Source organism: Homo sapiens, chromosome 12, assembly GCF_000001405.40.
Source record: "Homo sapiens chromosome 12, GRCh38.p14 Primary Assembly".
Classification (NCBI taxonomy): domain Eukaryota; kingdom Metazoa; phylum Chordata; class Mammalia; order Primates; family Hominidae; genus Homo; species Homo sapiens.
In genome coordinates, this window is record NC_000012.12 from 4804041 (window position 1) to 4831506 (window position 27466).

The following is a 27466-nucleotide window of genomic DNA, read 5'->3' on the forward strand; positions in this document are numbered from 1 at the left end:
GGCCAGGCAGAACGCTGTGTTTGGACAGAGGAGCTTCCACTTGGAACACGCTGAAGAACCAAAGCTCGAGGGCAGAGCCTTGCCCAGAGTGAGATGGTGAGAGGAGGGACACGGGCTCAGACTCATCACCCCTGCTTCTCACTGGCTCTGAGTGGTTTGGATTCCACAGTGGAAAGCTCAAGAGTGGGGTGGGTCATTCTAGGGAGGGTGTTCCGTGCTTGTGCACAAGTGTTGTGTTCTCTCAGTAAGAGGTAAGGGAGCTGACGACTCGCCACCCTGTCCTCAGAGCAGGGGCCTGTGGGTGACAGGACCATGAGGAGAACCATTTTCAGAGGTTACACAGAGAAAGAGGAAAACTTCAGGGATCGTATTACCAGAATGATGACAAGTGCACACACACACACACACACACACAGCAAAATAAAAATGTAAAGAAGCCTGGAAGACAGATCATTTATGTCATTTATATACCTGGAATAGGTACATTTTAGAACCTAGGGCAGAGGTCAGAATATAAATGGTTATCACACAATGCTTCACATTATCTGTGCTCATCTTGTGGGCACATACGTCCATTCTTAGGTGGTTCTTCCCATGGATGCCCCCCACGTACTCCTGACCTGTTGCAGATCATGTGTTCCACTGGAAGGCCAGCGTGGGCCCAGGAGGATGGGGCCCCTGGGGTCTAGTCCTGGTTGTTGGTTTCCAGGAGCTCTCCATCTCTTGGCTTTCCTTTGACTTCACCTACAACCCCTCAGCCTCCTATGCTGGCTGCCCTTCCTCCTGACCTTGACCGGTAGATTGAAGACTGCTGTGAAGGACTTGGTCCTGGTCATTTCTCCTCGTTGTCCATATTCTGTTTCTGCAGAAGACCTTGGTGCCATGAATGTATATATTTCTAGATGTCTTAAATTCATAAATCGTAAGTTTCTTTTTCATATTCCAGACCTAAATAAATAACTGCCTCCTTGATGTCTTAATTTGCATGTATAATTTCCCTCTCCAATGTAAAACATCTAAAGGTGAGGTCTTGACGCATCCCAACTTGTTTAACCCCTTGTCTTCCCTTTCTCAGTAAAGGGCGACACCTACCTGCCTAGTTGCTTGAGCTTGGCATTGGCTGCTTATTTCTCATGTTTTATTGATGACTAATTCCTGCTGATTCTATCATCTAAACATACCTCCTCAGTTCTCCTCACCTCCTCTCCACTCTATCTCTACTGACTCTACCTTTCTCTGGCCCAAGTCACCATCATCTTTTCCCCAGACGACTGCAATTTCCTGGTCTTTCTATTTCTTCTTCTACCTCTTCATAATTCATTCCCCTCCCAGCCTCTAAGTAAATCACATCACGTCTCTCCTCTGCTTGAAAACCATCATTGGCTTCATACCGCCCTTAAGATAAAACCTGAACACCTCACCCTATAAGATGGTACCCTTGCTAATTCTTCAATCTTATCTTGCACCTCCCTTTCCCTTGCCCATTCTCCTCCCAGCGCACGGCCTTCTTTTTGACCTTGAACACCCATGACCTTTCTAGCTCAGGGCTTTTGCACTTGTCAGTCTGGAATGCTCTTCCCTGCATTTGGCACTGTGGCCCCATTCTCTTATCTATTTTTGAGACAGAATCTCCCTCTGTCACCCAGGCTGGAGTGCAGTGGTACAATCTCGGCTCACTGCAACCTCCACCTCCCAGGTTAAAGCGATCCTCCTGCCTCAACCTCCCAAGTAGCTGGGACTACACGTGCCCTCCACCATGCCCAGATAATTTTTGCATTTTTAGTAGAGACAGAGTTTTGCCATGTTGGTCAGACTGGTCTTGAACTCCTAACCTCAGGTGATCCACCTGCCTCAGCCTCCCAAAGTGCTGGGATTACAGGCATGAGCCACCGTGCCAGGCTCCATTCTCCTCTTTGGATTGTCAGTTGAAATACTACCTCTTCAGAGGGAACTTTTCCAGCTACCCTTGCAAAGTTGAGTCCCCAAGTTCATTTCTGACATGGCATCCCATTTATCCTCCTCAAGGCATTTACTGCAATATGGAATTATTTTCCTTATTGTCTACTGTTAAAATTTTCTGTCTATAATGTAATTTATTACATGAAAATGTATGCTTATCAAAGCAGATATTTTGTATAGATCACTGCTAAATCCTCAGCACCTGGCACCATGCTGGCACTCAGTAGCTGCTCAATATATACTTTTTAAATAAATGAATGATTGCTATGACCATGGCAAACATCTGAATCTGGATACAACAACAAAAAATAACAACAAAATCTGTGCTGGCATGAAATTGGTGCTTGGTGAATGCTGGGGAAAAATCCCCTGCCATTGGAAGCCACTTGGCAGTGTTTATGGATGGAGCTGTGTCTTCCTTCACCTGGGAACTGGCATTTCTGAAGGTGTGATTGTACTCATCCTTAACATACGCTTGGGGGGAATGATCTAGGCATAGGGTTTTTCTTAAGCTAAGAAATGAGTCTATTTCACAAAAGAACTAAAAACAGAACTCTGATTCATGAATTTGCCAATGGCTTGTCCTTCTCAGGGGAACCTCCCTGGGCACAGTGAAACCCTTCTTGGGGCACGACCTCATGCTTGATGTGAAGGTCATCACAGAACATCAGCTCTGCCTGAAGGGTGGCCGGCAGCCCAGTCAGGCTTAACCCGAGGGGTACTCAAACGGAGGTTCTTGACACCTTATCAGGGTGTGTACGCTTCTGCAGAACGAAGGTTCCTTCCCATGCTTTGCCAGGATTGGTTTTGAAGAATTACTGACCTAGTTGACAGTCTCGTGAATAAAAATGGCAATGATGAAAACAAACCTGCAAATGAATCATTCATTATGAATTTGAAAACAAAAACAAAAAGAATCAGGGGTTAGTCAATTTATGACTCAGAAAATAATGACAGATAACTGGATAAGGGTAAAGTGACAGATAACTGGATGGGGGTAAAGAGTATCTTCTATAGTGTATTTGCTGTTGGTTTCCTTTTTTTTCTTTTCTTTCAAAAAGATTTTTTAAACAGAGCAACTTTTGTGTGGAGTCTAAATGGCTTAATTACATAGTCTGTAAGTGAGAAAACTCCGCTGGATGACTCCATGTACTTGCTTTCTCTCCCTTCACGGAAACATGCAAGGTGAGAGAAAGGAGTGGAAATGAGACAGGCAAGCATGAGATGGGCAAGCTGGCTGCTTTCCTGTTGTGATGTGGTTTGGAGAAAAAAGAACAAAAGCCCTTTACTCAAGCTGTAACTCCCAGCCAGTCAGCATCAAAGGCCCAAGAAGCTATTAACCACAAATTAATTAACCCCTTGCTTTAGAGAACTAAGGACCTTTCTGAGGCCCTACGTGCCTAGCTAGGCTTAACTTTCACCTCATCATGAACTTTTCCTTATTTTAGTACTAAAAATCATGCCCACAGGTGGAGATTTAAGATGCTAATGAGACATATGTTGTATGAAGCAGCATCTTAAGCCACCGTACATGTGCCCGAAAAACCTCACCTCTACATGCCCTGACTTCCCCTTACTGCAGACCTCCACAAAGGGAACCCACACCTTGACTTTGGAGAGCAACCCACTTCCTTTCTTGGTGTTTGGTCCCTTATGTCCATAAGCTTTCATAAAATCTTTCTCTTTGCTACTGTATGCTGTGATCTCTTTTGATTTCTATCCTGGGGGATCAAAAAAGCCCACAGGGCGTTGGTGCCAGAAATCAGCTGTGCAAGCACAGAAAGGGAGCAGAGGCTGTTGCCTGGCTCAACTGGTGAGGAGCAAGACTGGAGAATGAGCATGCAGTGAGTTCTAATACTAGCACATTTCTTACCCACTCAACACCTGATCCCTTCCCGACACATCCAGGAGCCTTGGTTCTCTCCTTCCTCCAACTCTCTGAGAGTGAATGCTGCTGAGAACCACTGTGGTTTTAAAATACTCCGTGCAATACAAAGAACTCTCAGATGCATCCTGTGGTTTGAGAGCACCTTTATGTGTCATTCTCATCATTAACCTCAATGAATGCATACTAATGATCTAATATGCACCAGAAGCTACACAAAAACACTTTGTAGTTGTTAGCCAATTCATTTTGGCTACAGCCAGCCAGAAAAGAGGAAACTGAGGCACAGAGAAGCAAATGTCAACCCTACCTGGAAGTGTCAGTCTGAAAAGATCAGTTGAGTCTTCCTCTACCAGACCCCAACTTGTCTGGTCTCGTGAAGAAAGACAGAAATGGATGGAAAACCATTCTTATCACCTTCTTGCTGGAGAGTTAGGGAAGAGTCAGCTGGTCCCTAACAACAAACTTTGCCCTACTCCAGTACTGCCAAAGGGGTCTTTGTTGTAACATGGCCTACAAGGAGAGGACATCTTTCTGGGAAAGCACCTAGAATGTGGCTGGCACATATTCAATGCCCAGTAAATGTAGCTATTATTTTTTCAATCAACACTCTTACATACCCCTTTTCCACTCACCCTCTTCTCCCTTTTTTTGGTCACCCAATAAGCAGAAATTCCAGATGCATCCTTCGGGGTGGTTGGGAGCAAAGGATCCCCAGGGTGCACTGTGCCCTGGGCTGAGGTATCTCTGAGGTGCTTCCATCTTCTGGGTCCTTCCTCACTGGGGTTGTTGCCTCAGGCTCTCAGGACTCCCCTGGAAATCTTCTGATGGGAAAGGCATTGATTGACTTGCCACCCTTTCTCTACCATCCCTTTGCAATTCTGGGAGAGTTGCAGCCCCGCCCTCCCAGGCTTGCAAAGGTAGACGGAGAATTATATTGGAATTTAAATCGGAAGCTCTCAAGGCATCTCAAAAATACTTTCTCTATTTTTTTTTTCCTGTAGATATTGGAGAGGTTGGCAAACGGGTCTTCCTGAAGACAGAAGAATGTATGATTTAATGTTTTCTTTAGATTTCTGTATGAGTGGATGCACAGTGCTCCGTATTGTGTGGTGGGGCGGGGTGTGTCTTCTTATTGATGAAATACACTGCGCAGGTCAACTCGGTAAATTGAAATGAGAAGAGCCGACTGCGGGGGTGGAGGGGGTGTGGTATTAGGGTGCCGGCGCTTGTGGAGGGGGGCGCGAATGTGAACGTGTGAAAGCGAGAGGCGTGCCAGGAGAGCGCGGGAAAGCTTACTGGTGAGGCAAGTGTGCGTCTATTTCCATGGCGCCCTGGCTCGCGGCAGCCCCTGGCTGGGCGAGGGGTGTGATGTGGGAGTGGGGTGGGAGGGGGCAGCAGGCGGGGCCTGCCACGTCACTTGGAGAGTGTGTGTTGGGAAGGAAGGGCAGAGCGGAGAGCCGAGCCGCTGCAGCTGCGGCGGCGGCAGCGAAGCCTTGAGCCGTGGGGAGGTGGGTCCCCGCGCTCGGGCGCCGGGGCAGCCCCGGGCCCTCTGCGAGGCCTGCGGCGCGGCTCCTAGGGAGGAGGTGGCGGCTGTGGCGGCCGGAACCGCGACCTTGGCCGGACCCAGCCCCGCGGTGGACGCAGGGCGGAGGCCGAGCCCCGCCAGGAGTCTTTGCCGAGCCGGAGGGAGGCGCATCTGGCGCTTCGGTACCAGCGGCAGCCGGGGGTCCGGAGCGGCTGGAGGAGCGCAGTGGGAACTGGGAAGAGCTAGCCCGGCTGGAGGGCGGACCTCTGCGTCCGGGAGCCGGGTCTCAGGCACCGCTGGGGGCGAAGCCACGCGTCTTTTCGGGCAGCCAATTTCACACGCGCCTGTGTGCGGTTCCGGGCATCCCAGTAAGCTCTAGCACCCGGGCGCGGGTAACGGGAAGCGCAGAACCAAATCCCCAGCGCCCAGGTCACCTCCCCAGACCCAGCCTTGCAGGGACCAGGGCTTTAGGGCTCACGGACCCAACGGCCAGGTCAGACCGCGAACCGGGAGGAGCGCGGGCCCCACCCTAAAGAGGGCGCAGCCGGGAGCTGGGGAGCGGGTGCCGCGCTCCAGAGATTGTGTCGTGGGCGCCGTCCTAGTGGCGGGGAGCGCACCTCCGAGGGGGCATGAGATCGGAGAAATCCCTTACGCTGGCGGCGCCGGGGGAGGTCCGTGGGCCGGAGGGAGAGCAACAGGATGCGGGAGACTTCCCGGAGGCCGGCGGGGGCGGGGGCTGCTGTAGTAGCGAGCGGCTGGTGATCAATATCTCCGGGCTGCGCTTTGAGACACAATTGCGCACCCTGTCGCTGTTTCCGGACACGCTGCTCGGAGACCCTGGCCGGCGAGTCCGCTTCTTCGACCCCCTGAGGAACGAGTACTTCTTCGACCGCAACCGGCCCAGCTTCGACGCCATCCTCTACTACTACCAGTCTGGGGGCCGCCTGCGGAGGCCGGTCAACGTGCCCCTGGACATTTTCCTGGAGGAGATCCGCTTCTACCAGCTGGGGGACGAGGCCCTGGCGGCCTTCCGGGAGGACGAGGGCTGCCTGCCCGAAGGTGGCGAGGACGAGAAGCCGCTGCCCTCCCAGCCCTTCCAGCGCCAGGTGTGGCTGCTCTTTGAGTACCCAGAGAGCTCTGGGCCGGCCAGGGGCATCGCCATCGTCTCCGTGTTGGTCATTCTCATCTCCATAGTCATCTTTTGCCTGGAGACCTTACCCCAGTTCCGTGTAGATGGTCGAGGTGGAAACAATGGTGGTGTGAGTCGAGTCTCCCCAGTTTCCAGGGGGAGTCAGGAGGAAGAGGAGGATGAAGACGATTCCTACACATTTCATCATGGCATCACCCCTGGGGAAATGGGGACCGGGGGCTCCTCCTCACTCAGTACTCTTGGGGGCTCCTTCTTTACAGACCCCTTCTTTCTGGTGGAGACGCTGTGCATTGTCTGGTTCACTTTTGAGCTCCTGGTGCGCTTCTCCGCCTGCCCTAGCAAGCCGGCCTTCTTCCGGAACATCATGAACATCATTGACTTGGTGGCTATCTTCCCCTACTTCATCACCCTGGGCACTGAGCTGGTGCAGCAGCAGGAGCAGCAACCAGCCAGTGGAGGAGGCGGCCAGAATGGGCAGCAGGCCATGTCCCTGGCCATCCTCCGAGTCATCCGCCTGGTCCGGGTGTTCCGCATCTTCAAGCTCTCCCGCCACTCCAAGGGGCTGCAGATCCTGGGCAAGACCTTGCAGGCCTCCATGAGGGAGCTGGGGCTGCTCATCTTCTTCCTCTTCATCGGGGTCATCCTCTTCTCCAGTGCCGTCTACTTCGCAGAGGCTGACGATGACGATTCGCTTTTTCCCAGCATCCCGGATGCCTTCTGGTGGGCAGTGGTTACAATGACCACGGTAGGTTACGGGGACATGTACCCCATGACTGTGGGGGGAAAGATCGTGGGCTCGCTGTGTGCCATCGCTGGGGTCCTCACCATTGCCCTGCCTGTGCCCGTCATCGTCTCCAACTTCAACTACTTCTACCACCGGGAGACGGAGCAGGAGGAGCAAGGCCAGTATACCCACGTCACTTGTGGGCAGCCTGCGCCGGACCTGAGGGCAACTGACAACGGACTTGGCAAGCCTGACTTCCCCGAGGCTAACCGGGAACGGAGACCCAGCTACCTTCCTACACCACATCGGGCCTATGCAGAGAAAAGAATGCTCACGGAGGTCTGACCCATGCAGGCAGGGCCTGCAGGAGGGGAGCACTGAGCTAACAGTCTCTTAGGCTTCCTTCTCATTTCCACTACTCACTCTAGCTTCAGTTGACTTCTTGACTCTCTCCCCTACACCCACTACCTGGCATCCAGGACCAAATACCTGGACTATCAACCTTGTTGCTTAATCCCTGCAGCATTCAAGGTTAATCCATCTAAGTGACATTTTTGAAATTCCAGCGGTGCCACCCAATCATGCCCAGCTTCTGTCATATGAATGAGATATACATTTATGTCTGACCTTCCCTCAAGACTGATTTTTCATGTCTGGGACTTACAATATCTCAAGGAACAGCAATGTCAACAGGATGGAAACCAGCCCTATCTGAGTCTTCGCTCCCTCCTTAGTGTTCTTTGCTTTGGGTCATGTGCGTTTCCTAGCTTCAGGCTACTTGGTAACTGGAAGAAGCTGGAGGACAGAAGCAGTACTCAACTTGCTGTTATTCCAGTGCCCTGTAACAATCACTGGTCCTCCTGCAGATGACCCTTGGTAGAGTCTTTATTTGCATAGCCTCAAAATAGGTTATTCGTTTCTAAACTTGGATGGAATTAGAGAATACAATCAAACTTTACCACTTGGAGGACACGGGGTTAGTCCAGGACCAAAGAGGCCAATGGATTTTTCAAAGTGTGCCCCAGCACAAGAGGCACTGGTGTTCGGTCTACATTTAGTTCTCCCCACTCTGATCCCCTGACTCTCCAGCTTCCAGGAAGGTTCCTTCTCAGAGCCAAATACTCTTTGTGCAAGTGCCTTCCTGAGCAGAAGAACTGGAGAAAGGGAACCACAGAGCCAGGAGGAATGTCTGAGCAGAGTCAAGCAACTGGCTTGACCACAGTCTGAAGCAAGGTGCCACTTAAACAGATACTGTTTTCTCAAAGGGGCAGAGGAATCGTGTTGCAGATGGCAGCCTTTTCTCCTTCATTTTCCCCACATTTTCTCTGGCCCTCTACCTTGCTTCCTGGGAGTTTGATTTAGGATTGCTGTTGAAGGCTTCCTCAGGCAAACTCCAGCTTAAAGCCCTAGACAGGTAAAAGCACACATTGGATGGCAGCATGGGTTTCTTCCCATTTTATGGGCATGAAATATGTGGTTTAGAATAAGGAACAAGCATTATTCCTTTGCCAACAGCCTCACTCTAAGAGGCTTTTTTGCTGAGTCAAGCAAACACTTGCCTGCTCTGCCCCTTGGAGCTGCATTTGACCTGCTCTCACTGGTAAGGTGACTTGGTGGCGTTCCCACTTGATTTAGCCATTTTCTTCCATTGTGAGACCACTGCCATCTATCCACCTGCCCACCTCCCCTTTTGTTTCTCAGTAACATTGCCATTTGTTTTTTGCCTTTGATAAACTGTGATGTACTGTTCTGAGATCTTTTGGGTGCAGTTCTGAAACTGAAAGGACTGTTAACATGTTTTTAATTTTATATCTATGCTTTCAGACTCTTTGATGATAATTTTTTTTTTAAAAATTATTCTCTCGAAGAGCAACTTACGAGAGGACAGCCTTATGAGGGTTTGCTTGAGAGGCAGTGTGGCTTCTGTGACTGCCAGCTCTAAATCTCGATCTTGCCATAACTTTACAGGGTAACTTGGGTCCACAGTCACTCTTTGTGCCTCAGTTTACCCACCCATTAAATGGGAACATTACTGTCTTCCCCTCCCTACCTCATGGGGAATGTCTGGGAAGCTGGGGACATTGCTATGCAAATGTGTGAATCTTAGTCATGGATTTGATTTTTAGTTATCCCCATACCCCCATAGGCAAGGCCTTCCCCCAGAGTTCCTGCTTTGGATCCAAAGCCTGAGAATAGGCCATTATGGACCATTGGCTCCCTAAATCCCTCCTTGGCCTCTTGGACTGAGCCCCTCAGCCTTTCTTCTTACCCTTCAGAAAGGAGAGTTCTCTTTAGATATGTTCAGGGGGATCCTTCCATGGCTGGAGGTCACCTTGACTGGGGGCTTGGCTTCTCCAAACCTGAAACACAGTAGAAGATAGAGATGTTTATGATGCAAAAACCTGCTCTGAGGTCAGAAAGTGCTAGTTTTCCAAATCTCTCCCATTGCTGCTGGCTATCTGGGGAAAGAAGAGAAAAGCCCATTCCAGAGGCAGAAGGGAAGCTCCCAGCCGAGGGTAAAAGTTGAGACCTGTATGCATGTATCTCTGTATATGTGTATGTAATCACCCTCATCACCATCCCTGAGAAAACATTTTCTTTTCAAGTCAGAGCACGCCTGAAAGGGTTTGTGGAGAGCCCAGCTCACCAGGGACTCTGGTTGCCGTAGCAACCTTCCAGACTGTTCTCTCTATCTTCTGCTTTGGGCATCAAGGGAGACCAGGGGACTACATCTTCCCAGCTTCTCAAATGGGAGCACCTCCCACATCGTGGCTTAGGGGCTGGGAGTGCCAGGGCACGGATGTGGGACTTTTGGAAAATGTGGAGGAAGCAGGGCCTCAAAGCTTCCTGTCTGGACTTTTCTTCCTAGTTTCCCCACCCAGTCATTGAAGCTGCCTCATCTTACTCCTGATTCTTCAGAAATTTGAATGTTAAGCAACCAGTTAAACCAACGTCAGTATTAATTTTTTCAAGCTGTCGAGGGGAGCCCTTAGAGGGGACAACTTCTTGGAGTGGCGGCCAAGCTGGGCCTTACCAGGTGTGATCATAGTCTTAGGTATCATGGAGTTCCCATCTCCGCAGAGGCAGGCTCTTCCCAGCTCCACGAGAGGCGGAGAATTGCAACTTCTTCCTCTCTGGGAACGGCCTATCTAGCTCCTGGGAGGAATCTCAAAGATCTTTCTTCTTAAGACATCGAAGAAAAACTGAGAGGCTGTAGCTCGACCTAGTTTCTGTGAAGAATTTTGTCAAGTGATCCCTCTCGGACCCTGAGCCTCTTTATTTGGATTTTGTGCCTTGAGCACCAAGAGAATATGCACTCTGGGTTGCCTGGACAGCTGGGGTGGTGATTCACAGGAAGGGTCCAAGCCATCACTACACCTGACTCAAGCCGGAAAGAGCTCCCAGAGGACTTCCTGGAGCTGCCAGCCTCAGCCTGAGATGCGGGATATTCGTCCCCAAGGAGCGAGGAGGGACAGCTCGCCTTCTTTGCAGGTGAGGTAGGTTCTACTGGAGGGGAATTTTGGTTTTGGCTCAGTCCTGCAGGCAAAATTAGAACGGGGTGGGGAGAGAGAGAAAGTGGGGAAGCGTGTGCATCTGGAGAGAGGCAAGGTTTTCATTCCCCTTCCCTCAGGGGCTACCTCGCTTTTTCTGTGTATTTTTCTTTGACTCCATTAACTTCAGTTTCCTTTTTCTCTGTTTCTGTCCCCTTGATGCTGCTGGCCCCTGTAAAAAATTATCTCTTTTTCTGTGCATTTTTCTCTTTCCTTCTTTTCATTCTTACTGTCTCTGCCTTTTTTCCCCTTTCTCCAGTTTTCTTTCTTCTGGTTTTCCCCCTCTGTTCTTTTACCATCTTCTTCCTTCTATGTGTGTCTTCCTGCTTATCTTTCTCCCTCTCTCCACCTTTTCAGTGGCTGGGAGCACCTAGAGTGTTGACGTCGAGGTCGCACATTGAACTGTAGGACAGCTGTGCTTGCTAAGGTCTGTCTGCAGCAGGAGTATTCCACTTTTTCCTGACTTCTCACTCTGCCATTCTTTCCTACCATGCTCACCTCTGTGGAGGCAAGTCCTGAACCTGCCAAGCAAGATGAGACTGCCATGGGCTCAGAAAAATGTCTCCCAGAAATTTCCTGAACCTGCAAGCATAAATGAGAGAAGGCAGGCTGGGAGGGAGAGAATGACCCTGAGAAGTCTCAGACAAATCCTCTGCTGAGTAGCCCTGGACCACCTCAGGTTCTCCAAGCTTAGGAGGCTGGCAGAGAGGTCAAAGACAGAGGAACAGTAGAAATGTCAAATAAACAGAGAAAAGAGGGCTTAGGAGGCAGGCATAAGGTTGGAGTTAGCCTGGAAAAAGCCTTAAATAGGGGATGGCTTTAGAACTGCCCTTAATTCACTTGAAGGTTTTGCTAGTATCTGGCTGTCTCTCTCGGGTACTGAAGGCAGAACAAAAGGAAAGGACATAAATCTCTGTGGTGCAAGGTGCAGGGAACACTCCTTGACAAGGAGGATTAAGATTCACCAGGCAGTCCGCAAGGAGAATTGATGGTCTCCTTGCTAGAAGTCTTAGAGCATGGGCTAAGTCCCACCTGCAGCAGGACACTAGGACAACCTGAGGGGCCCCCATGGGGTTGAAGGTTGTGCTATTACAATTGGCCCCAGATAAGTTTTGGGGGATAATAGAAATGCTGTGAAGCAGGATTGTGGTAATAATCATACAACTCTAAAAATCGCACCCCAAAATCATTGAATTGTGAAAAAAAAGAAAGCAACGAGTCTAATAATCTGGGAGTTTTCCATCTGGGCTGGGAGAACGGTTTGGTCCTATAAATCTAGAAGCTTAGCATGTCTAAAAATGGACCAGACAATATCTAGAATAGAATGACAGTTTTTTTCTTCTGCCACATGGGGACACTTTAGAGCTTATATGCAGTCGATCGTTGCTATTCATGCACAATACCACGAACTGGTGTGTGTGTGTGTGTGTGTGTGTGTGTGTGTGTGTGTGTGTGTGTGTCTGTGTGTGCTTCGTTTTGACATCAAATTGTTATGAGAGTTACATGCTTTTCTCTTTTTTCTTTTTTTCCTCTAAAGATATGTCATGCCATTTTTTGGGTAAGTGCAGGGCATAATTAGCATGCACTGAACTATGATATATATGTTGAACATTATTCATTATACAGGACTACGGTCTTGAGCTTGCCCAGGGAACTTACACTTTGCTGGCAAAAAGAAAAAAACTCCAAGAAAAGTTCCCACAAACTAAAAACCCCACCAAATCCCTGCACCTGTAAACTCAGAATTCCTTAAGAGATTGCATAGGGCCCAAGGTTTTATGTATTTATCTACTATGGTTATTATTTTATTTTTGAATTTTTTGAAATTTTTTTTGTGGGTACATAAAGGTTTTATTTTCCCTGGCCCCCTACCTACAGTCCCTCTACAGTCGTTATTGATGCTTAACAGCCCTATGAAGAGGTCCCAGCAGTCTTTGGTGCTTCCGGTAAACAAAAGAAGTGGACGGTAACGGCCTTCATTTGTCTTACTGAGCCTTTCAATGATTCTCTCCCAGACTCTGATCCCCTCTTGGCCTGCTTTGCCTTGTGCCCACTGGACCCTCCCTTCCCTCTCCTTGGTGCTTTCCTCAGATGCACCAGCCAGTCCTGTGGCTTGTCATTTCTCCTCTCCGCTGGCTGAGCCCTTGCTTGCAGCAGCATTTCTATCTGCCTGCAACTCAACATACATTCCAAGATAGATTCCCAGAGAGCGTGGTCCTTCCAGGACAATCTGGCTGGAGCTGCCATCCTGGCTCACATGGGTTTTGACTGTGTGTTATTGCCATGGGAAGGAAGTGGGGAGGAAAGTGTCCTCCAATCCTACCTTGTCACAGTCACTTAGGGGAGGAAAAGAATTCCATTTACTAGGTGGTAGGAGTTCCTCTCTCCATCCCGCTTCATATTTTGCCTTGGGTTGCACAGATAGCTCATGGCAGAACAGGGTCTGGAGCTTGGCAGTTGGCAGGGAGAGGGATCTTCCCAGACATAGGCCGCGGGGAAGAAAGACAGATGGGCTTTTAGCCTCTCATCTTGCCAGGTCTCCTGATGAACCACTTTCCTGTGCTGGCCTTGAGTGAGTCTCTGTGGGGTTGGGAATGGTCATGTTTTTCATGTCCCTTTGTTCTGAACTTGAGAAAATAGTTCACCCTGCCTCTTGGTCTTCTTGGTCCTCATCCCCTGGCTTCACCTGGTACCCTAAAGGGGGAGTGGAAATCTATCAGCCACTGCCTTTGAAGGGTTATCAAAGCAGCTGCTGTGTTTGAAGGTGCACATTAACAATAGGAGAGGGACTCCCTCATTTTCAGAACAAAAGAGGAAAGGTTCCTACCCTACAGGAAGTATCATTCGCACTGGTCTAACCTTGGCTATCACTTGACCTGTTTGGGGACTAGTCCTGATGGGATTTATTACAATTTTTTTTTTAATCCAACTCCAACCTCATCATTGTTACTCTAAAGAGAATTCCTCACTCCTCGGTCACGAGCCTCAGCAGATACACTTTACCTCCTCCTGGAAAACATTTTGGAATCTTAAGCAGCTTCTGCTGCAGGCTGCAAGGAGCGCAGACAGACCCTGGCTCTTTGGTGAGAGCAAAGGCGACATTTCAAAAGGAAATTGCAGCCACGCAGTCTGCTGGCGCTGCTATTTTTGACATGCTTGCTGTTCTCTCAGGGCTTGACAACCGCTGTCTCCAGGAGACAGACAAACCTGCTCTTGGCAGCAGAGACACTGCTTTGAAAAAGAACATAGGAAGACAGTCCTGCAGCTGGGAGGGGCGGGGAGGACTTGCCACTGGAAGCGTGGCACCTGGCTAGTGGGGCTGCAGATCTGAGGTTGCAGGATTTATCCTCACCTAGGGAATCCTGACCTTGCGTTGCATCCTTCCCACTGGGAATAGTCCTAGCAAGAATAAGAATGGTGCTATTCATTTACAGAACATTGTCAAACACGTTCAGTGCTTTCAGACATCGTGCGATTTAACAAAGGGTTTAAGAGCATAGTTGCTGGAGCCTGATCGTCGCGGCTCAAATCCCTCCTTTGCTGGGTAACATGGGGCAAGTTATGAAACAGTTCTGTGGCCTCAGTTTCTTTCTCTGTCAAATGGAGGATAATAATAGTACCAATCTGATAGGGTTGTTTTGAGGATTAAATGAATTAATGTATGTACAGTGTTTAAATGTACAATGTCAGCTGTTATTATCATCCTGCAGCAGTGAAATGAAGTAGGTAGGCTAGGCTTTGTTTTTTTCTTTGGCAGATAAGAAAACTGAAGCTCAGAGGGGTTGTGATGTCTTTAAAGGCACACAGTAATGTGTGTTTCATCCTCTTCAGGGGAGATGGAACAGAATGGAATGCAGTGAGGGTCTAACTGTTATTGGGCAAGAAGAATGAAGCCATAGCTCCTAAATGTGTTTATAGACTTCTGTTTACATGCCAGCTTGTCTCTGATGGAGCAGCAGCAGGTGTCCTGTGCTTTTGTTCCCTATGGGTCCCTGAAAGTGCACACACACACACACACACACACACATATGCATATACACACATACGTATATACACACATAAATATATATACATACATACACATACATACATACACAAAAACACACACATACACATATATACACATATGCACACACAAAACCACATATACACACACGTATATATACAGAAACATGAATATACATATGCACATGTATACACACGTATATGCACACACAAACATATACACACGTATGCACAGGCACATACATGCATGCTTATACATATACCCACGTATATACACAAACACATATGGTGCTATATATTCTATATGTGTGTAGCATATATACGTGGAACATCTTTCTATGGATCCCTTTCTCAGTACTGCCACTGATCTCCCTCTCCCATTTTAACATTCTCAGTGGTTGACACTGCATTCGAGTTTTCCTCACACACCTGCTCCTGCCTTCTTCCTTGGGAAGAATGCAGGGTCTTATAGTTAGCAGAAGGGACAGAACCCACAAGCCAGCCCCTGGCCCAGAGTTTTCCTACCCTGTTCCAGTGGCTTTCAAACTTCCACTGTCCTGGTCCTCACCGTCAGCATGCATTCTTTTCCCCAGTCACCTTCACGGCCCCCTTTGCAGGTGGGGGTACCCCTTAATCTCCCGTGGCTGTGTTTCTGCTTTCCTGTCCTTCTTTGAGGTGGAGGAGACAGGAGGCCTCGTAGTTGGAAGAAGCCAGCTCCCCTGCCCTTGTGGGTCTCCCCTGGCCTTCACTCCACCTAAAGAGCATTTATGACATCTCTTGTTAGGGGTCTTGGCACGGGCCAGATTGCTGTCTTCACCCTCAGCTCACTGCCACAGCCACTACGGCTTCTTAACAAAGGTCCTATCCCAGGGCAAGGTGACGTGGCTGCCCTCATGGTTGAGGATTCTGAGCTTGCTGGCTTGCCTGCCATGGGAGTTGGAGAATTGGTCTGAATCACTGTTTATTAGCTGTACCTCATTTAACCTCACCGAGCTTCAGTTTCGTCATCTGCAAAATAAGGAAGCTAACATCACTTGCCTTACACAGTTGCTGTGAGATTCAGAAGAGGCAGCCAGTGAAAGAGTTTAGCAGGAAATAAACTCTTAGCAAAGCATGGCTCTTCCCACTGCCAATCAGCAGAGAGACCCTTAGAGACACCAAACACCCATCCGAGAGTGGGGCCGAAACTACCTGCACGTCAGAGAAAGGCAGGGTCCCTGCCAACTGCAGTTTTGTTCTCTGAAATAAACATTTAAATGAAATATGACATAAAAAATAGACTCAGGATAGCTAGCTATTTTTACCAGAAGGCTCTTTGCCCAGAGGATTCACAGCAGAATTTCTTTAAATAATTGCCCTTACGGTGTGATTTAATATACAGAAATATAATCTGAATATATCTTGGAAGAATAGGATGGATATACTGGTAATATGTATATATTTTAACAAAGTTTGTTTCCAGCCAAACTAGAATGAGAATTCTCACTTAACCCTTCCCTCAGGCCCTGGAGCATTGCAGAGGGTCACAGATGGAGGGGGCAGTGAATGCCTCTTTAGGAAGAAGGAGACTGATGCAGAGAAGTGAAATAATTTGCCGAAGATCACACAGGAAATTAGGGGCAGAGTTGTGCCTGGGACCCAAATTTTCTAACTCCAACTCCAGCATATTTTCCCATGGGAAATGGAACTGTAAGGATTACCTAAACACACACACACACACACACACACACACACACACACACACACACACTCTTAAAAATAACTCTTCATTTTCTACCCAACCAAACTCCTTAGCAGAGCTGCCCATAGAAAATGGAATTAAGTGATTTTAACTTTTATCTTTCCCTCCCCTGAGTTTCCAGGGCACAGAGGCAGTGAGCCTAGCTAGAGAAGCCCAGAACCAGATGACCAGCTTCTGGATTTTTAAGGGAGGACTAATGACTGAGGGCTAGTGCAGACCAAAGGTATTTAGCACTGGACAAAGAGAGGCTCATGTACAGGCTCTGGGCTTCTAATCTCACTGATTAAGGGATTCTTTAACCTCTTAAGGCTTTATTTTTTCTGTTAAATTTAGTGACTGGACAGAAGGAAACTGTCATAGATTGGAAATCAGGAAGTCAAGGGGTTATCTGAGTCTTCTGAATTTTATAGCGGAAAGAAGGGATGCAGAAGGCCAGCATCTTACCCAGGAACGCTGACTTCTGATGCCTTGGGAGGCAGAAACCAGTTTCTAGACTCTTCCCTGCACTTTGTTGCCCCGATAGAGAAAGAGAAGTGACTGTCAGTTACAGAGATCTTTTACAAATCACAGGACCAGGGTGAGGAGGAAGAACGTGTCCAGAAGGCCTGGTGGTTGAGCCATAAATCAGCCAGGCACTCCCCAGCTGCTTTAAGGCAATTTGGCATTGGTGGAAAGAGAAAAGAGGTCCGGTATGGTGGGGAAAATAGCTGTGTTCCCTGCAGAAGACTGCTTTCTGTGCTTCAGGGGAAGGATCGCGTTCACCCAGGAGAGCATACGTGTGCACACGCAGGTGCCCAGGCACACCCTCCCCAACCAGACCCTCTACTCACTTGGATGTGTGTGTGTGTGTGTGTGTGTGTGTGTGTGTGTGTGTGTGTTTTGTTTTTCTTTTTTCTGCATCTGCAATCTCCTGGTTTATGGTTTTACATGCCTCCAGCAATTCCAAATTGCAATCACAGAGCACCTTCCCTAAAACTGGGCAGATTACCTTATAAGAGGTCCTCAACTGTCACTTGTGGCTTGTGAGCCACATGGGACACAACATTAAGAAATACTGGAATATTTCACACACACACATCTGAAGTTTTGGTTTCTCTTAAAAGCAAAGGTCTGGGCTTGTTGATCCTGCATGTTTGCTTTCCACCCACCATCAGCAAAAGCTGAGGGACAGCGGCCCCCTGCAGAAGGACGTGGGTTCTCTTTGCCCAGTGCCCATCGCTTCTTAGTCCCTGCTGCTGAGGCTGGGCCGTCTGTCATTTTTCTTTTTTTTTAGATGGAGTTTCGCTCTTGTTTCCCAGGCTGGAGTGCAGTGGCATGGTCTCGGCTCACCGCAACCTCTGCCTCCCAGGTTCAAGCGATTCTCCTGCCTTAGTCTCCTGAATAGCTGGAATTAGTGCTCACCACCAGGCCTGACTAATTTTTTGCATTTTTAGGAGAGAGGGGGTTTCACCATGTTGGCCAGGCTGATCTCAAACTCCTGACCTCAAGTGATCCGCCCACCTTGGCCTCCCAAAGTGTTGGGATTACAGGTGTGAGCCACCGCGCCCGGCCCGTCTGTCAGTTTTAATTGTGCCCCTAGCCATGTTTTTTCATAGGTGGGAGATATTTCTCTCTATGTACATTTCTACCAAAGCTTAGAAAAGGAAAGATGGAAAGGGTATCATGTTTAGGGAAAATGATACCTGGCTTATGTCACCTGGTAACCCCTGGGGACACTGGTGCTTGCGGCCATACTCAGAGCCTTCCTGTGTGATTTCATCTAAGTGGCTCAGAATCAACTATCTGACTTAGAAGTAGCAGGTCAGATGGAGATGTGAGTATGTGTGTTTGCTGGACAAAAAAGAAATGAGAGCAGAAATGAAGGCTGCTTGCTGGGAGGAGCCGGTTCCAGCTACCCATGAGAGACAGGACTGTGAGGCTGCACAGAGAAGAAGGCACTGGAGAGTAACAAGAGCATGCCATGTTCTGTGTCCAGTTAAGCAGGCAGGGGAATGTGTGATGTAATTCAGAACTCCCAACCAAAATGGTAAAAATTAGAAATCAGGCAAACTTCTGCGTTCAGAGATGTATCCAATTAGAGAACCGCCTCCTGTTTCTGTGATGTCAGACTGTGGAGCACTACTCCACTCCCGCTGGCTAGGACTGAGTGGGCGTCAGAGTGGGGATTCATGAGTGGCATTGTGTGGCTTTCCTGATAATGACTGGCCACCCAGCCACGGGCTGTGCATCTGTCTGGTTGCTTCTGCGATGTCATGAGGCCCATGGCCGTGCCCGGATTCGATCTTGCCTCTCCTGGGTTATTCCCAGTTGGTTTCAGCTCTCAGGTGGAATCTTCTGTCTTTGAAGCTTATTGGCCGAAAGCTAAATGGCCGTAGATTTGGAACCATGCCCAACATTATTTCCTTGGGAAGGAGATAAGAAACGTTTTCCTTTTTTTAAGCTTTATATGTACCCTTTCCAGGAGGGCAGGAAATGTTCAGTCAGGTTGGGATTAAATAAAATCCATCATGAGCCTTACATTTGAATGCTTGTAGGCCTCACTTGTTCCAACAGATGAGTTTCCAAAAAGTTGTTGTTGTTTTGTGTATGTATAATATAATTATTTTCCTCTCAGAGGTGCTTTTTAATAGAAGTGAGCCCTTTCACATTTAAAAAACTACACAATATAGTTAAAAGAGAGCATGTAGTCAGTAGAAAAATGAATTTAAACTAGCTTATAGTGTACTTCATGCAATCATAATTCCTTCTTCCAGCGGAAGGAAGAGGAATGCTATGGCATTGGAAATGATGGAAATGATGAGGATTGCTGATCAGACTTGAAAGGAAAAAAAGCTTTTTTTTTTTTTCATTTTAGGAACTAGGAGATATTTTTCAAAATGTATGTTCAAAAACGGGAATTCCGGCTGGGTGCAGTGGCTCATGCCTGTAATCCCAGCACTTTGAGAGGCCGAGGCGGGCGAATCACTTGAGGTCAGGAGTTCGAGATGAGCCTGGCCAATATGGTGAAACTCCATCTCTACTAAAAATACAAAAATTAGCCAGGTGTGGTGGCAGATTTCTGTAATCTCGGCTACCCTGGAGGTAGAGGCATGTGAATTGCTTGCACCAGGGAGGTGGAGGTTGCAGTGAGCTGAGACTGCGCCACTGCACTCCTGCCTGGGCGACAGAGCGAGACTCCATCTCAAATAAATAAATAAATAATAAAATAAAATGGGGAATTCCAAGAAAATCTATCATAATCTCTCTTTTTCTTACTGCATGCAGACTGTAAGTGATGCATTTGCAGGTGGGCAGCACTGCCTTTCCCACACCTGTAGCTGTGTCAGGTGAGGCAGGACAGGAGACATGAGAACATGGTTCTGAGCCTCTTGGTCTATCTGTGAACAATGTAGGCAGAAGGTGATATCTGTCCACCCTGAGGAAGTCAGCTCCCAGTGCTGTTCCCCACTGGTGTCTGCCTGTGTGACCCGGGGAGAGTTCAGAACCTCACTGAGCCTTGGTTTTCTCCTCTGTAAAACTGGGCCATTAATAGACATCCCTCATGGTGGCCAGTGAATGGGTGGAATTAGAGCAGGTAATGCTAACAGGCCTGGTATGTGGCGAGCATTCAGCAAAAGTTATTATTTCATGGTCTGTTTCTTATTTGCCCACTTTGACAGAGTAGTGAGGCATAAGCAAGGTCTCTTGTCCAAACGTTAGATACAGTTAAAACCACTCAAAGCTCTCATAAATCAGTCTTTTGGGAAATATGTCCATCTATGTAATAGTTTCTCTTGTTTTGTAGATTTGGACTTCCTGATCAAATAGTGACCATGATTCAGGTATTAAATCATCAAATACTTGGTCATAACAGAGGCGACTCATGTAAAGGGGCTTACTACCTTCTTAGAGTGAAACTGTTTCCTTGCTAAAAAAGCCAGCAGCAGAGAATATCCAGGGATTTTGTTAAATTCCTAAAGAAAGAACATGAGCAATGAAGTGACTTACCCATTGAGAATCCCCGAGATCAGCGAGAACTTCCAGAAAACTTGGGAATCCACAGAGAGGTTGAATGACTGAGTGTGGAAGCATCTCATGACTCAGCTATTCACTTGGCTGACCTGTGGGCTGCCGTAAGCGGGAGAATGAACGGGAAGAAATGCACAAGGGTGTAGGTAGGATGCTTCCTCCCCGATGCGTAAGGTCAACACTTTTCTTTGCAATTATAATACCAATCTGTGGAAAACAGACTCAACTTACAGAGGATGTATTGGCTTTACCTTCAACATTTCAGGGATGTCTTTAATTTGCAAGCCAGTCAGCTGAACTCACTTAATATATCAATAGAGAATAAGGACAGATGACATGAAATAATTGAGCAGGAAGAGAATTCTAAAAGTCATGGAATTAATTGCCTTGCTGTGTATTAGAAAAATGTCTAGATTATTCCAGGCTTATTCTGAAAAATGCCCAGAGAAAGAGAATCCATAATATAGACTCCTTCAAGCTACTTGTGTTTGAGCACCCTTTGTCAGGATGTTTTCCTCATTTCTCAGTTACACATCTCCTGCTGCACTTTAAACTTCCTTCCTCCTGTTTTGTCTTCTGCTGAAATGGATACTCAAGTGACCATGTTACCTAGAATAACTCATGCCAGAGTTCCTCAAATGTGATCTGCAGAACATCAGTCCTACGCAACTTTCCATGGAGAAAGAATCCCCAGGCACTATGTTTCAGAAATGCTGCCTCTTGGAGATGCACAATGCATCTGAACATGAAATTAAAGGCTCTGAGAAGTCCTGCAGCAGTAAAACTATTTCACTTCTTTAAACCAGTGTTTTTCAACTTCTTACATTTTTAAAAATTTTTACCACAGAATCTCCATCCCCCTTTTATAGTAATGTCTGCTCACATACCCCCAAAACTCATCCAACAAATACATTTTGGAAAACTCGAAGAGATCTGAAGCTTGTTGCAATGGATTTGAGTGCATGGACCCTCAGCCATGAAAGGTTTTTTCAGTTGGACCATTCTGTGGCTTCTTATCAACCTTCTTAAAGTTCTTCACACCCCTCTTGAGTTGTTCAGAAACGGAAGTGGTTTTGATAAGGCACTGAGTAATGTGATAAAACACATCCTCTTCCCTATAGTCCTTATAAGTCTTCTTAAATAGAAGTCTTTGAGAAAATAACAGTAAGAGTTGGTCTTATTTGTTAGGTTTAGAGCTACCTTGCTAGGAAATGTCCACAGCTCTGATGCACTCTGCCAGGCAAATGAGGTCGTCTGCATGGCTTTTGCCTTACACTGTAACAGCCAATTCCTATGCACGTTGTTAACCAAATCAAAAATTGTAACATGGATTTTTTTACGATCACTTTTCTAACTAAAACCTTTTGATGAAAACATTGATGATAACCTTTACTCACTATCCTATTTATGAAATCTTACTCACAATCTGAGAAAGATGCAAATACCAGCAGTGAGTTGTATGTAACCAGGTTTTCTCAGTATTCTTTTCCATCTTCCTAAACACTGTTTTCAAGTGTGACATTTGTCCTTTCTCCCAAGGCATTTTTGGTGCTGACACACCACAGTTGGACCTGGTTCCTCTGGTGCTTGGATTTCAGTCTCCTGGAAAGCTGTTTTCTTCTAGGTGTTTTTTGTTTGTTTGTTTTGTTTTGTTTTGTTTTGGTGCTGCTGAGGGCTCTTACCTCTGACCCTCCTCTGCTCATCTAGCAAGGCCTGAGGTTTGCTGTCTGCTCCTCACCAACTGGTCCAGGCTGAAATTCCTTCTTCCATGGTGTCCCTTCTGTGCTCAGAGGCAAAAGCAGAAAGGAGGGAATTGCTCTTGTCCTGTTGTTGCCTTTGTACCGATTCCTTTTCTGTACATCTTGAGCCATGAGGAAAAGTTTCTGGTATTAAAGCCACTAAAAGTCAGAAGAAGTGGACTGTGGGGTGGGTGAGGATTGCATCCAATTCTGGGTCTGTCACTAACCTGCTGTGTGACCCTACACATGTCACCTGCCTGGCCCTCAGCAAATGGTAGCCATTAGTATTGTTCTCCCACCAGAGTCTTCACTGTAAAGTGAGGTCATTGGATTCAACGACTGGGTTTCTGCTTGAAAATTCTGCGGATACCCAAGTGTATTAATCAGATGTGCAGCTGGCTGCCTGAAAACTTGACAGACTTTATTGCTTGGCTTTTGCCACTGGAGTGATCTTTGAAAAAGAGAGTTGGAGTTACTAGGTTTTCAACTTTATGTAGAATCACTGAATTTCAGAGCTCATATACTCCAGTCTATTATTTTACAAAGATCAGAACTTACATTTAAAAATATACTGAGTAGGTTGTAGCAAAGTTTTGAAAGAGAGACAATAGTTTTTATCTACTGTCAAGCAATGATAAACGTCTTCCTTCTTCTTCCTTTCTGCCTCTATTCCTTCCTCCCTCCTTCCTTTCCTCCTCTCCTCCCTCCTCCCTCTCTTTGCTTCCTTCCCTACGTCTTTTCCTCCCTCCTCCCCTCCATCGTCCCCTCTCTCTTCCCTCCTTCCTCCTTCTTTCCTTCTTTTCCTCCCTCCCTCTCTCCCTCGTTCTTTCCTTCCCTCCTTCTTTCCTTCCTTCCCTCCTTCCTTCCTTCCTTCCCTCCTTCCTTCCTTCCTTCCTTCCTCCTTCCTTCCTTCCCTCCTTCCTTCCTTTCTCTCGCCCTTCCCTCCTCCTTCCCTCCTTCCTTTCTATTTTTCTTAGATGAAGCCTATCCTAGTTATTAAGTGATTCCAGATCCTTCTTTATTTCGGTGTTGCAAAATAAACATTCCTTGGTTTTGGCCGTTTCAAGCACCTTGGCATTATGATGGGGAAAATGCTGGGCAAGAAAAGACATTTCTATATTAAGGAGAAGCAGGGGAGTGCAGCCCAGCAGGGATGCGAACCAGTATTCCCTGGGTCTCAGATTCCACACTAGAGGAAGAAGTCTGTAGAAAGGACAAAGGAAAGAAAGGTTGGTGTTACTCTCTGGTATCCTTAGACAAAGTAGAAGCTGGCTTCTTCCATTTCTGGGAGACAGCAGTGAGCAGCCCCAAGGGCAGGCATTCGATTGTAGTGCCTAGGTCACCTCACTGTGCCGCAAAGTGGCTCTGGGATGGAAAAGTGTCTAGCTCTGCCCTCACAGCTCTGCCCTGGGAAGCTTCCGAGCTGGGGCTTAGCCCTGCACAGCTCCACCAAGGTCCTGCTGCTTTTCGGTGTGTGTTCATCATTCTCATCCCTCTCAGCTTTCCTTCCTACTCTTAGTGCAGCCTCACGAAGCCTCACAGTCCCTGGACAGGGATAGGAAGCCTGTGTGGGCTCCTAATGTGCTGTTTGACCTTGAGTAAGTTGCTTCAATTGAACGCTTTATTTTCAGACTCTAAAAGGAATATCTGCTCATCATCGAAAATTACCCCAATTTAGAAAAGTATAAGGGAGAAAATAAAAATCCCATAACCCCCCCACCAGAGACACTCAGTGTTGGAACTCGGTTGTATTTCTCCCCCAGACTAACTTTGTCTATGTCTGTATCTGTATCTCTATAGAGACACTCAGTGTTGGAACTCGGTTGTATTTCTCCCCCAGACTAACTTTGTCTATGTCTGTATCTGTATCTCTATAGAGACACTCAGTGTTGGAACTTGGTTGTATTTCTCCCCCAGACTAACTTTGTCTATGTCTGTATCTGTATATCTATAGAGATCATTCAGCATTTCATCTGAAAAGCTTCATATTATGTCTCTAGTTTTCTCATGCAATTACTACATAGCCGTCATGGAGATGCAGCATTCTTTTGGTAACCCACTTCCTATTGGACGTTCAGGTTGCTTCTAATGAACGGTGCTACAACGAACACTTGTAGTGTAGATATTTGTTCACATTTATGACTCCTTCCTTGGCTATACTCCTAAAAGAGTCAAGAGATGTAAACAAAGTGAGCAATTAATTTTCTAGGTATCACCTTTCTCACCTATAGTAAAACAACAACAGAAACAACAATCACTGATAGCAGCGGACACTCACATAGCATCTTGTTTGCCAGGCATGTCTCTAAGGGCTTATGTGTACCAGCGCATTTAATCGTCCCAGTTGCCCCGTTATTATCTCCATTTCACAGAAGTAGCTTGCCCAGAGTCACACACAGCCAGTAAGTGGGGTGGTAGGATTTCAGCCTGGGCAGTCTGGCTCCAGAGTCGTGCTCTTATCTGCTAAACTAGTGTTGCCCCTGTGGGATGAAAGAGCTAAAATGAAGAATCCCTGGGGTCCTGTTACCTGGGAACATCGCTAATGTAGCATGGAATCCTGCAAATAATGCTAGAACGGAGTAATGCAGTTGCCTGATAAGAGTTCACCGGCTCCTGTCATCCTCTTCGTCCTCCCATTTGTGTGTTTGACGAGCTTGGGGTCTCTGTGTTTGTGAGTGCATGTGCATGGATATGCAAGTGTTTGTATAATTTTATGAATGGAACAGAGTCCGCAGTGTGTGAAGCAAGAAAGCCTGAACAATCTATTGACACAATAAAGCACTCATAATTGATGCTGTTAGTTATAGATAACTCATCATCGTTTCCTTTTTATCTTAAGGTTCCCAGGCACGTTGGCTGGGAAATGTGTCATTTTATAATTGGAGTTTCACCCCGGTGGAGCAGGAATAGGATGGGATTTGGCTGTCTACTGTAACCCCATCCCCCCAAAGCATGTCTGTACTTACCGTCTGAGGAGGGTGCTTCCCCTCCTTGAGCTGATTTGCCTGTGCTGTCCAGAAGCATTGCTGGATATGATTATCCAGTAGAAAAGGAGCTAATCGACAAACTTTTCACTGGCATAACGTGTCCACATTGCTCTTATTGCTCGCTAAATATAGAGGTTGCCAGGACCCCTTGAAATTTTGATTCAGAAGATCTGGGAGAAGCCTGAGAATATGCCTTTTTAAAAAACATGTGCTCTGAGTGATCACCTTCATGGATTTTGGGGAAGTCTTAGGTAGCAGGTCTCAACCTTCATAGGATATCAGCATCACCAGATTCTTTTGAAAAAAGTACCACTTCCTGTCCTTCTGCTCACTGCCTGCCCTAATTTGAATAACTGATCTAGGGTGGTTTCCAAGTTCAGGATTTAAAAAAAAAAAAGTCTCTAGAGGTTCTTGTGTGCAGCCATAGTTGGGTACCTCCAGCCCAAGAAGTTCTGCTGATAATATCGCACCTATACATTTAATTGCACTTCACATTTTACAACTCTCTTTCACCATTGAACATCGTAACAATTCACTAAGGTCAGTAAAGCAGGCATTATTATATTGTCCTTGGCCGAGAGAGGTTGACTGAATTGCCCGAGGCTGCACAGCTTCTCCCTCAGTCAGCAGCAGCTGTTCCCTACTTGGCTCATGGCCAGTCCTGCCAGTTCTTTTGGAAGGGGCAGCCTCCACTCCCCTGAGACTCACAGGATGAAATCAATTGCCTCTCCTAGTGCTGATGCTCGCGAGGCTCTTTCTTCCCCTTCTCAGCCACATCTTTTCTACTGCAGCCACTCTTCCTGCTCAGAGGGCCTCTCTCTGAAAGGTGCAGTTGCGTTCCCCTCCCATGCTCCATCCCACTTAACGGTTAGGTCATGGCACTGAGGGATGGACAGCTTGGAGCCTGGACAGTCCACATCCTCCACCGTGGTCTGAGGACAGAGACGTGCTGCCCCCCAGCTCCAGCCCCTTCGATGCCATCCTGCAGAAAGCACTGTGCACGCTGCATGGCAGGAGCCAGTAAAGTTCCACACCCCCATCCCAAATTCTCACATCCACCACCAAAGCTTCCTTCACCCCTGCATCCCACCGCGGATAACCTGAAAGCCCACCTGAGTCCTTCCTGGGAGGCGGCTGTGTGGGGCTGGAGCCCCCTGCAGTGGTGAGTCCCACTCCGGACACCTGGCCAATGGGAGCTTAACAAGGTGGCCAGCGAAAGAGAAACAGAACCCGGTAACGGCATCTGCCCCTTCCGCCATCCTCCACCCCGCAACCCGCTGCGGGCTCAAAATCTCTCCTCATTCAAACCGAGGACTTTTGTTTCTCTTTACTGTTCCTCTCCTTGTCCAGACCTTTTCCTTCACACAGGCTGTATCTTGGAGAGGCTCCCAGTGACTGTAGACTTCCTGTGTCAGAATCCTGCAGCCTCTGTCCCTGGGCTGCTTGGGCGGAGTGGGAGGCTGCGGGAGAAGGCGGGGTTTGCCTTGCAGGCAATGCGGGCAGGGGCGCTGCACCCAGGGAAGAGTTCCAAATGCTGATTCTCCCCATGGCCTTTACCTACCTACCTATTCAGCAGCCTTGCAACTGAGACGAAGCCACCCCCTAGCAGACTTTTGCAGGATATCGTTCACTTTCCTCTCTCAGGCCCTGCCCACCACGGGTTGTTGGTTTTGTGAGTTGGTGTGGGGGAGTCAGCAGGGTCCTCAGTGACTTTTGATCTTTCAGCGCTGACTTTCAGGAAAGGTAAGCTCTCTGCCAACAAAGCTGGTCTCCGCTGTGCCTCCTCCTCTTATACAACAACCCTAAGTGGCTTTCCTGCCAGGTGAGAGGATTTGCAAGGACTGCGGAGGAATATGGGACCGACGAGCTCTCCTTTCTCAAAACAGAGGGAGCCTTGGTGCAGATGCACAAAGTGGTCCTTGAAGTTGCATGTGGCCCGGAGCGGCTGGCTTGGTGGATCTTTACTGTTCTGGTTGGGCATTGTCAGGCAGCTATCAGAGGGCCCAAGAGTCCTTCACAATAACTCGTTATCACCCACAAGCAGCCAGCCAAGTTAGTACCTGCTTGACCCCGTCCTGCTGACAGTGGATTGGACCAGGGTTGAGCCTGAGAGCCAGCCAGCATGAGCCTCTTTCCTAGAAACCGTTAGTCAGGAAAAAAACGTTCTGGTTCAGTCTGGGCTAGCCTCT

General features: G+C 47.7%; 1 protein-coding gene and 1 long non-coding RNA gene across 11 annotated transcripts in view, besides 5 other annotated features; one reads left to right on the forward strand and one right to left on the reverse strand.

Moving 5' to 3' along the window:
• Positions 1-444: 444 nt before the first annotated feature.
• Positions 445-26731, reverse strand: KCNA6-AS1 (KCNA6 antisense RNA 1). Of its 4 annotated transcripts, none has more exons than NR_199076.1 (4): positions 25257-25500; positions 20531-20650; positions 9516-9606; positions 445-862 (listed from the first exon to the last, which is right to left on the reverse strand). It is a non-coding gene; the product is annotated as a KCNA6 antisense RNA 1 (long non-coding RNA). The 4 variants fall into 4 exon arrangements; NR_199075.1 differs by having other exon boundaries at positions 445-2828; NR_199077.1 differs by lacking the exons at positions 20531-20650; positions 25257-25500 and adding an exon at positions 26390-26731 and having other exon boundaries at positions 445-2828.
• The window catches only part of KCNA6 (potassium voltage-gated channel subfamily A member 6), a 41779-nt gene continuing 19606 nt past the window's right edge, over positions 5294-27466 (forward strand). For 2 of the 7 annotated variants that reach the window (NR_172523.1, NR_172524.1), the window contains exon 1: positions 5294-10743. Coding sequence is in view for 4 of the 7 variants with exons in the window: in XM_017019271.2 (XP_016874760.1) it covers positions 6002-7591 (1590 nt within the window). In the remaining 3 variants the exon portion in view is untranslated. Of the gene's footprint in view, positions 10744-12675; positions 12764-27466 lie in introns of those variants that run through there. The other 5 variants (NR_172525.1, XM_017019270.2, XM_017019271.2 and 2 more) reach the window with 4 other exon arrangements.
• Positions 19673-20872: an enhancer, noted in NCBI's record as "P300/CBP strongly-dependent group 1 enhancer chr12:4932879-4934078 (GRCh37/hg19 assembly coordinates)". NCBI's record gives its function as "activates an origin of replication core promoter dependent on BRD2, BRD4, P300/CBP, MED14 and CDK7 cofactors, with strong dependence on P300/CBP, by STARR-seq in HCT116 cells {active_cell/tissue: HCT116}" and the evidence as "EXISTENCE:reporter gene assay evidence [ECO:0000049][PMID:35650434]".
• Positions 21469-21669: a silencer, noted in NCBI's record as "peak1537 fragment used in MPRA reporter construct". NCBI's record gives its function as "represses an SCP1 promoter by STARR-seq MPRAs in K562 erythroleukemia cells {active_cell/tissue: K562}" and the evidence as "EXISTENCE:reporter gene assay evidence [ECO:0000049][PMID:32103011]".
• Positions 25370-25559: an enhancer, noted in NCBI's record as "active region_5830". NCBI's record gives its function as "activates an Ori minimal core promoter by ATAC-STARR-seq in GM12878 lymphoblastoid cells {active_cell/tissue: GM12878}" and the evidence as "EXISTENCE:reporter gene assay evidence [ECO:0000049][PMID:35858748]".
• Positions 25620-25779: an enhancer, noted in NCBI's record as "active region_5831". NCBI's record gives its function as "activates an Ori minimal core promoter by ATAC-STARR-seq in GM12878 lymphoblastoid cells {active_cell/tissue: GM12878}" and the evidence as "EXISTENCE:reporter gene assay evidence [ECO:0000049][PMID:35858748]".
• Positions 26209-26710: an enhancer, noted in NCBI's record as "H3K4me1 hESC enhancer chr12:4939415-4939916 (GRCh37/hg19 assembly coordinates)". NCBI's record gives its function as "activates a minimal SCP1, AML or CMV promoter by ChIP-STARR-seq in naive H9 embryonic stem cells {active_cell/tissue: H9 hESC(naive)}" and the evidence as "EXISTENCE:reporter gene assay evidence [ECO:0000049][PMID:30033119]".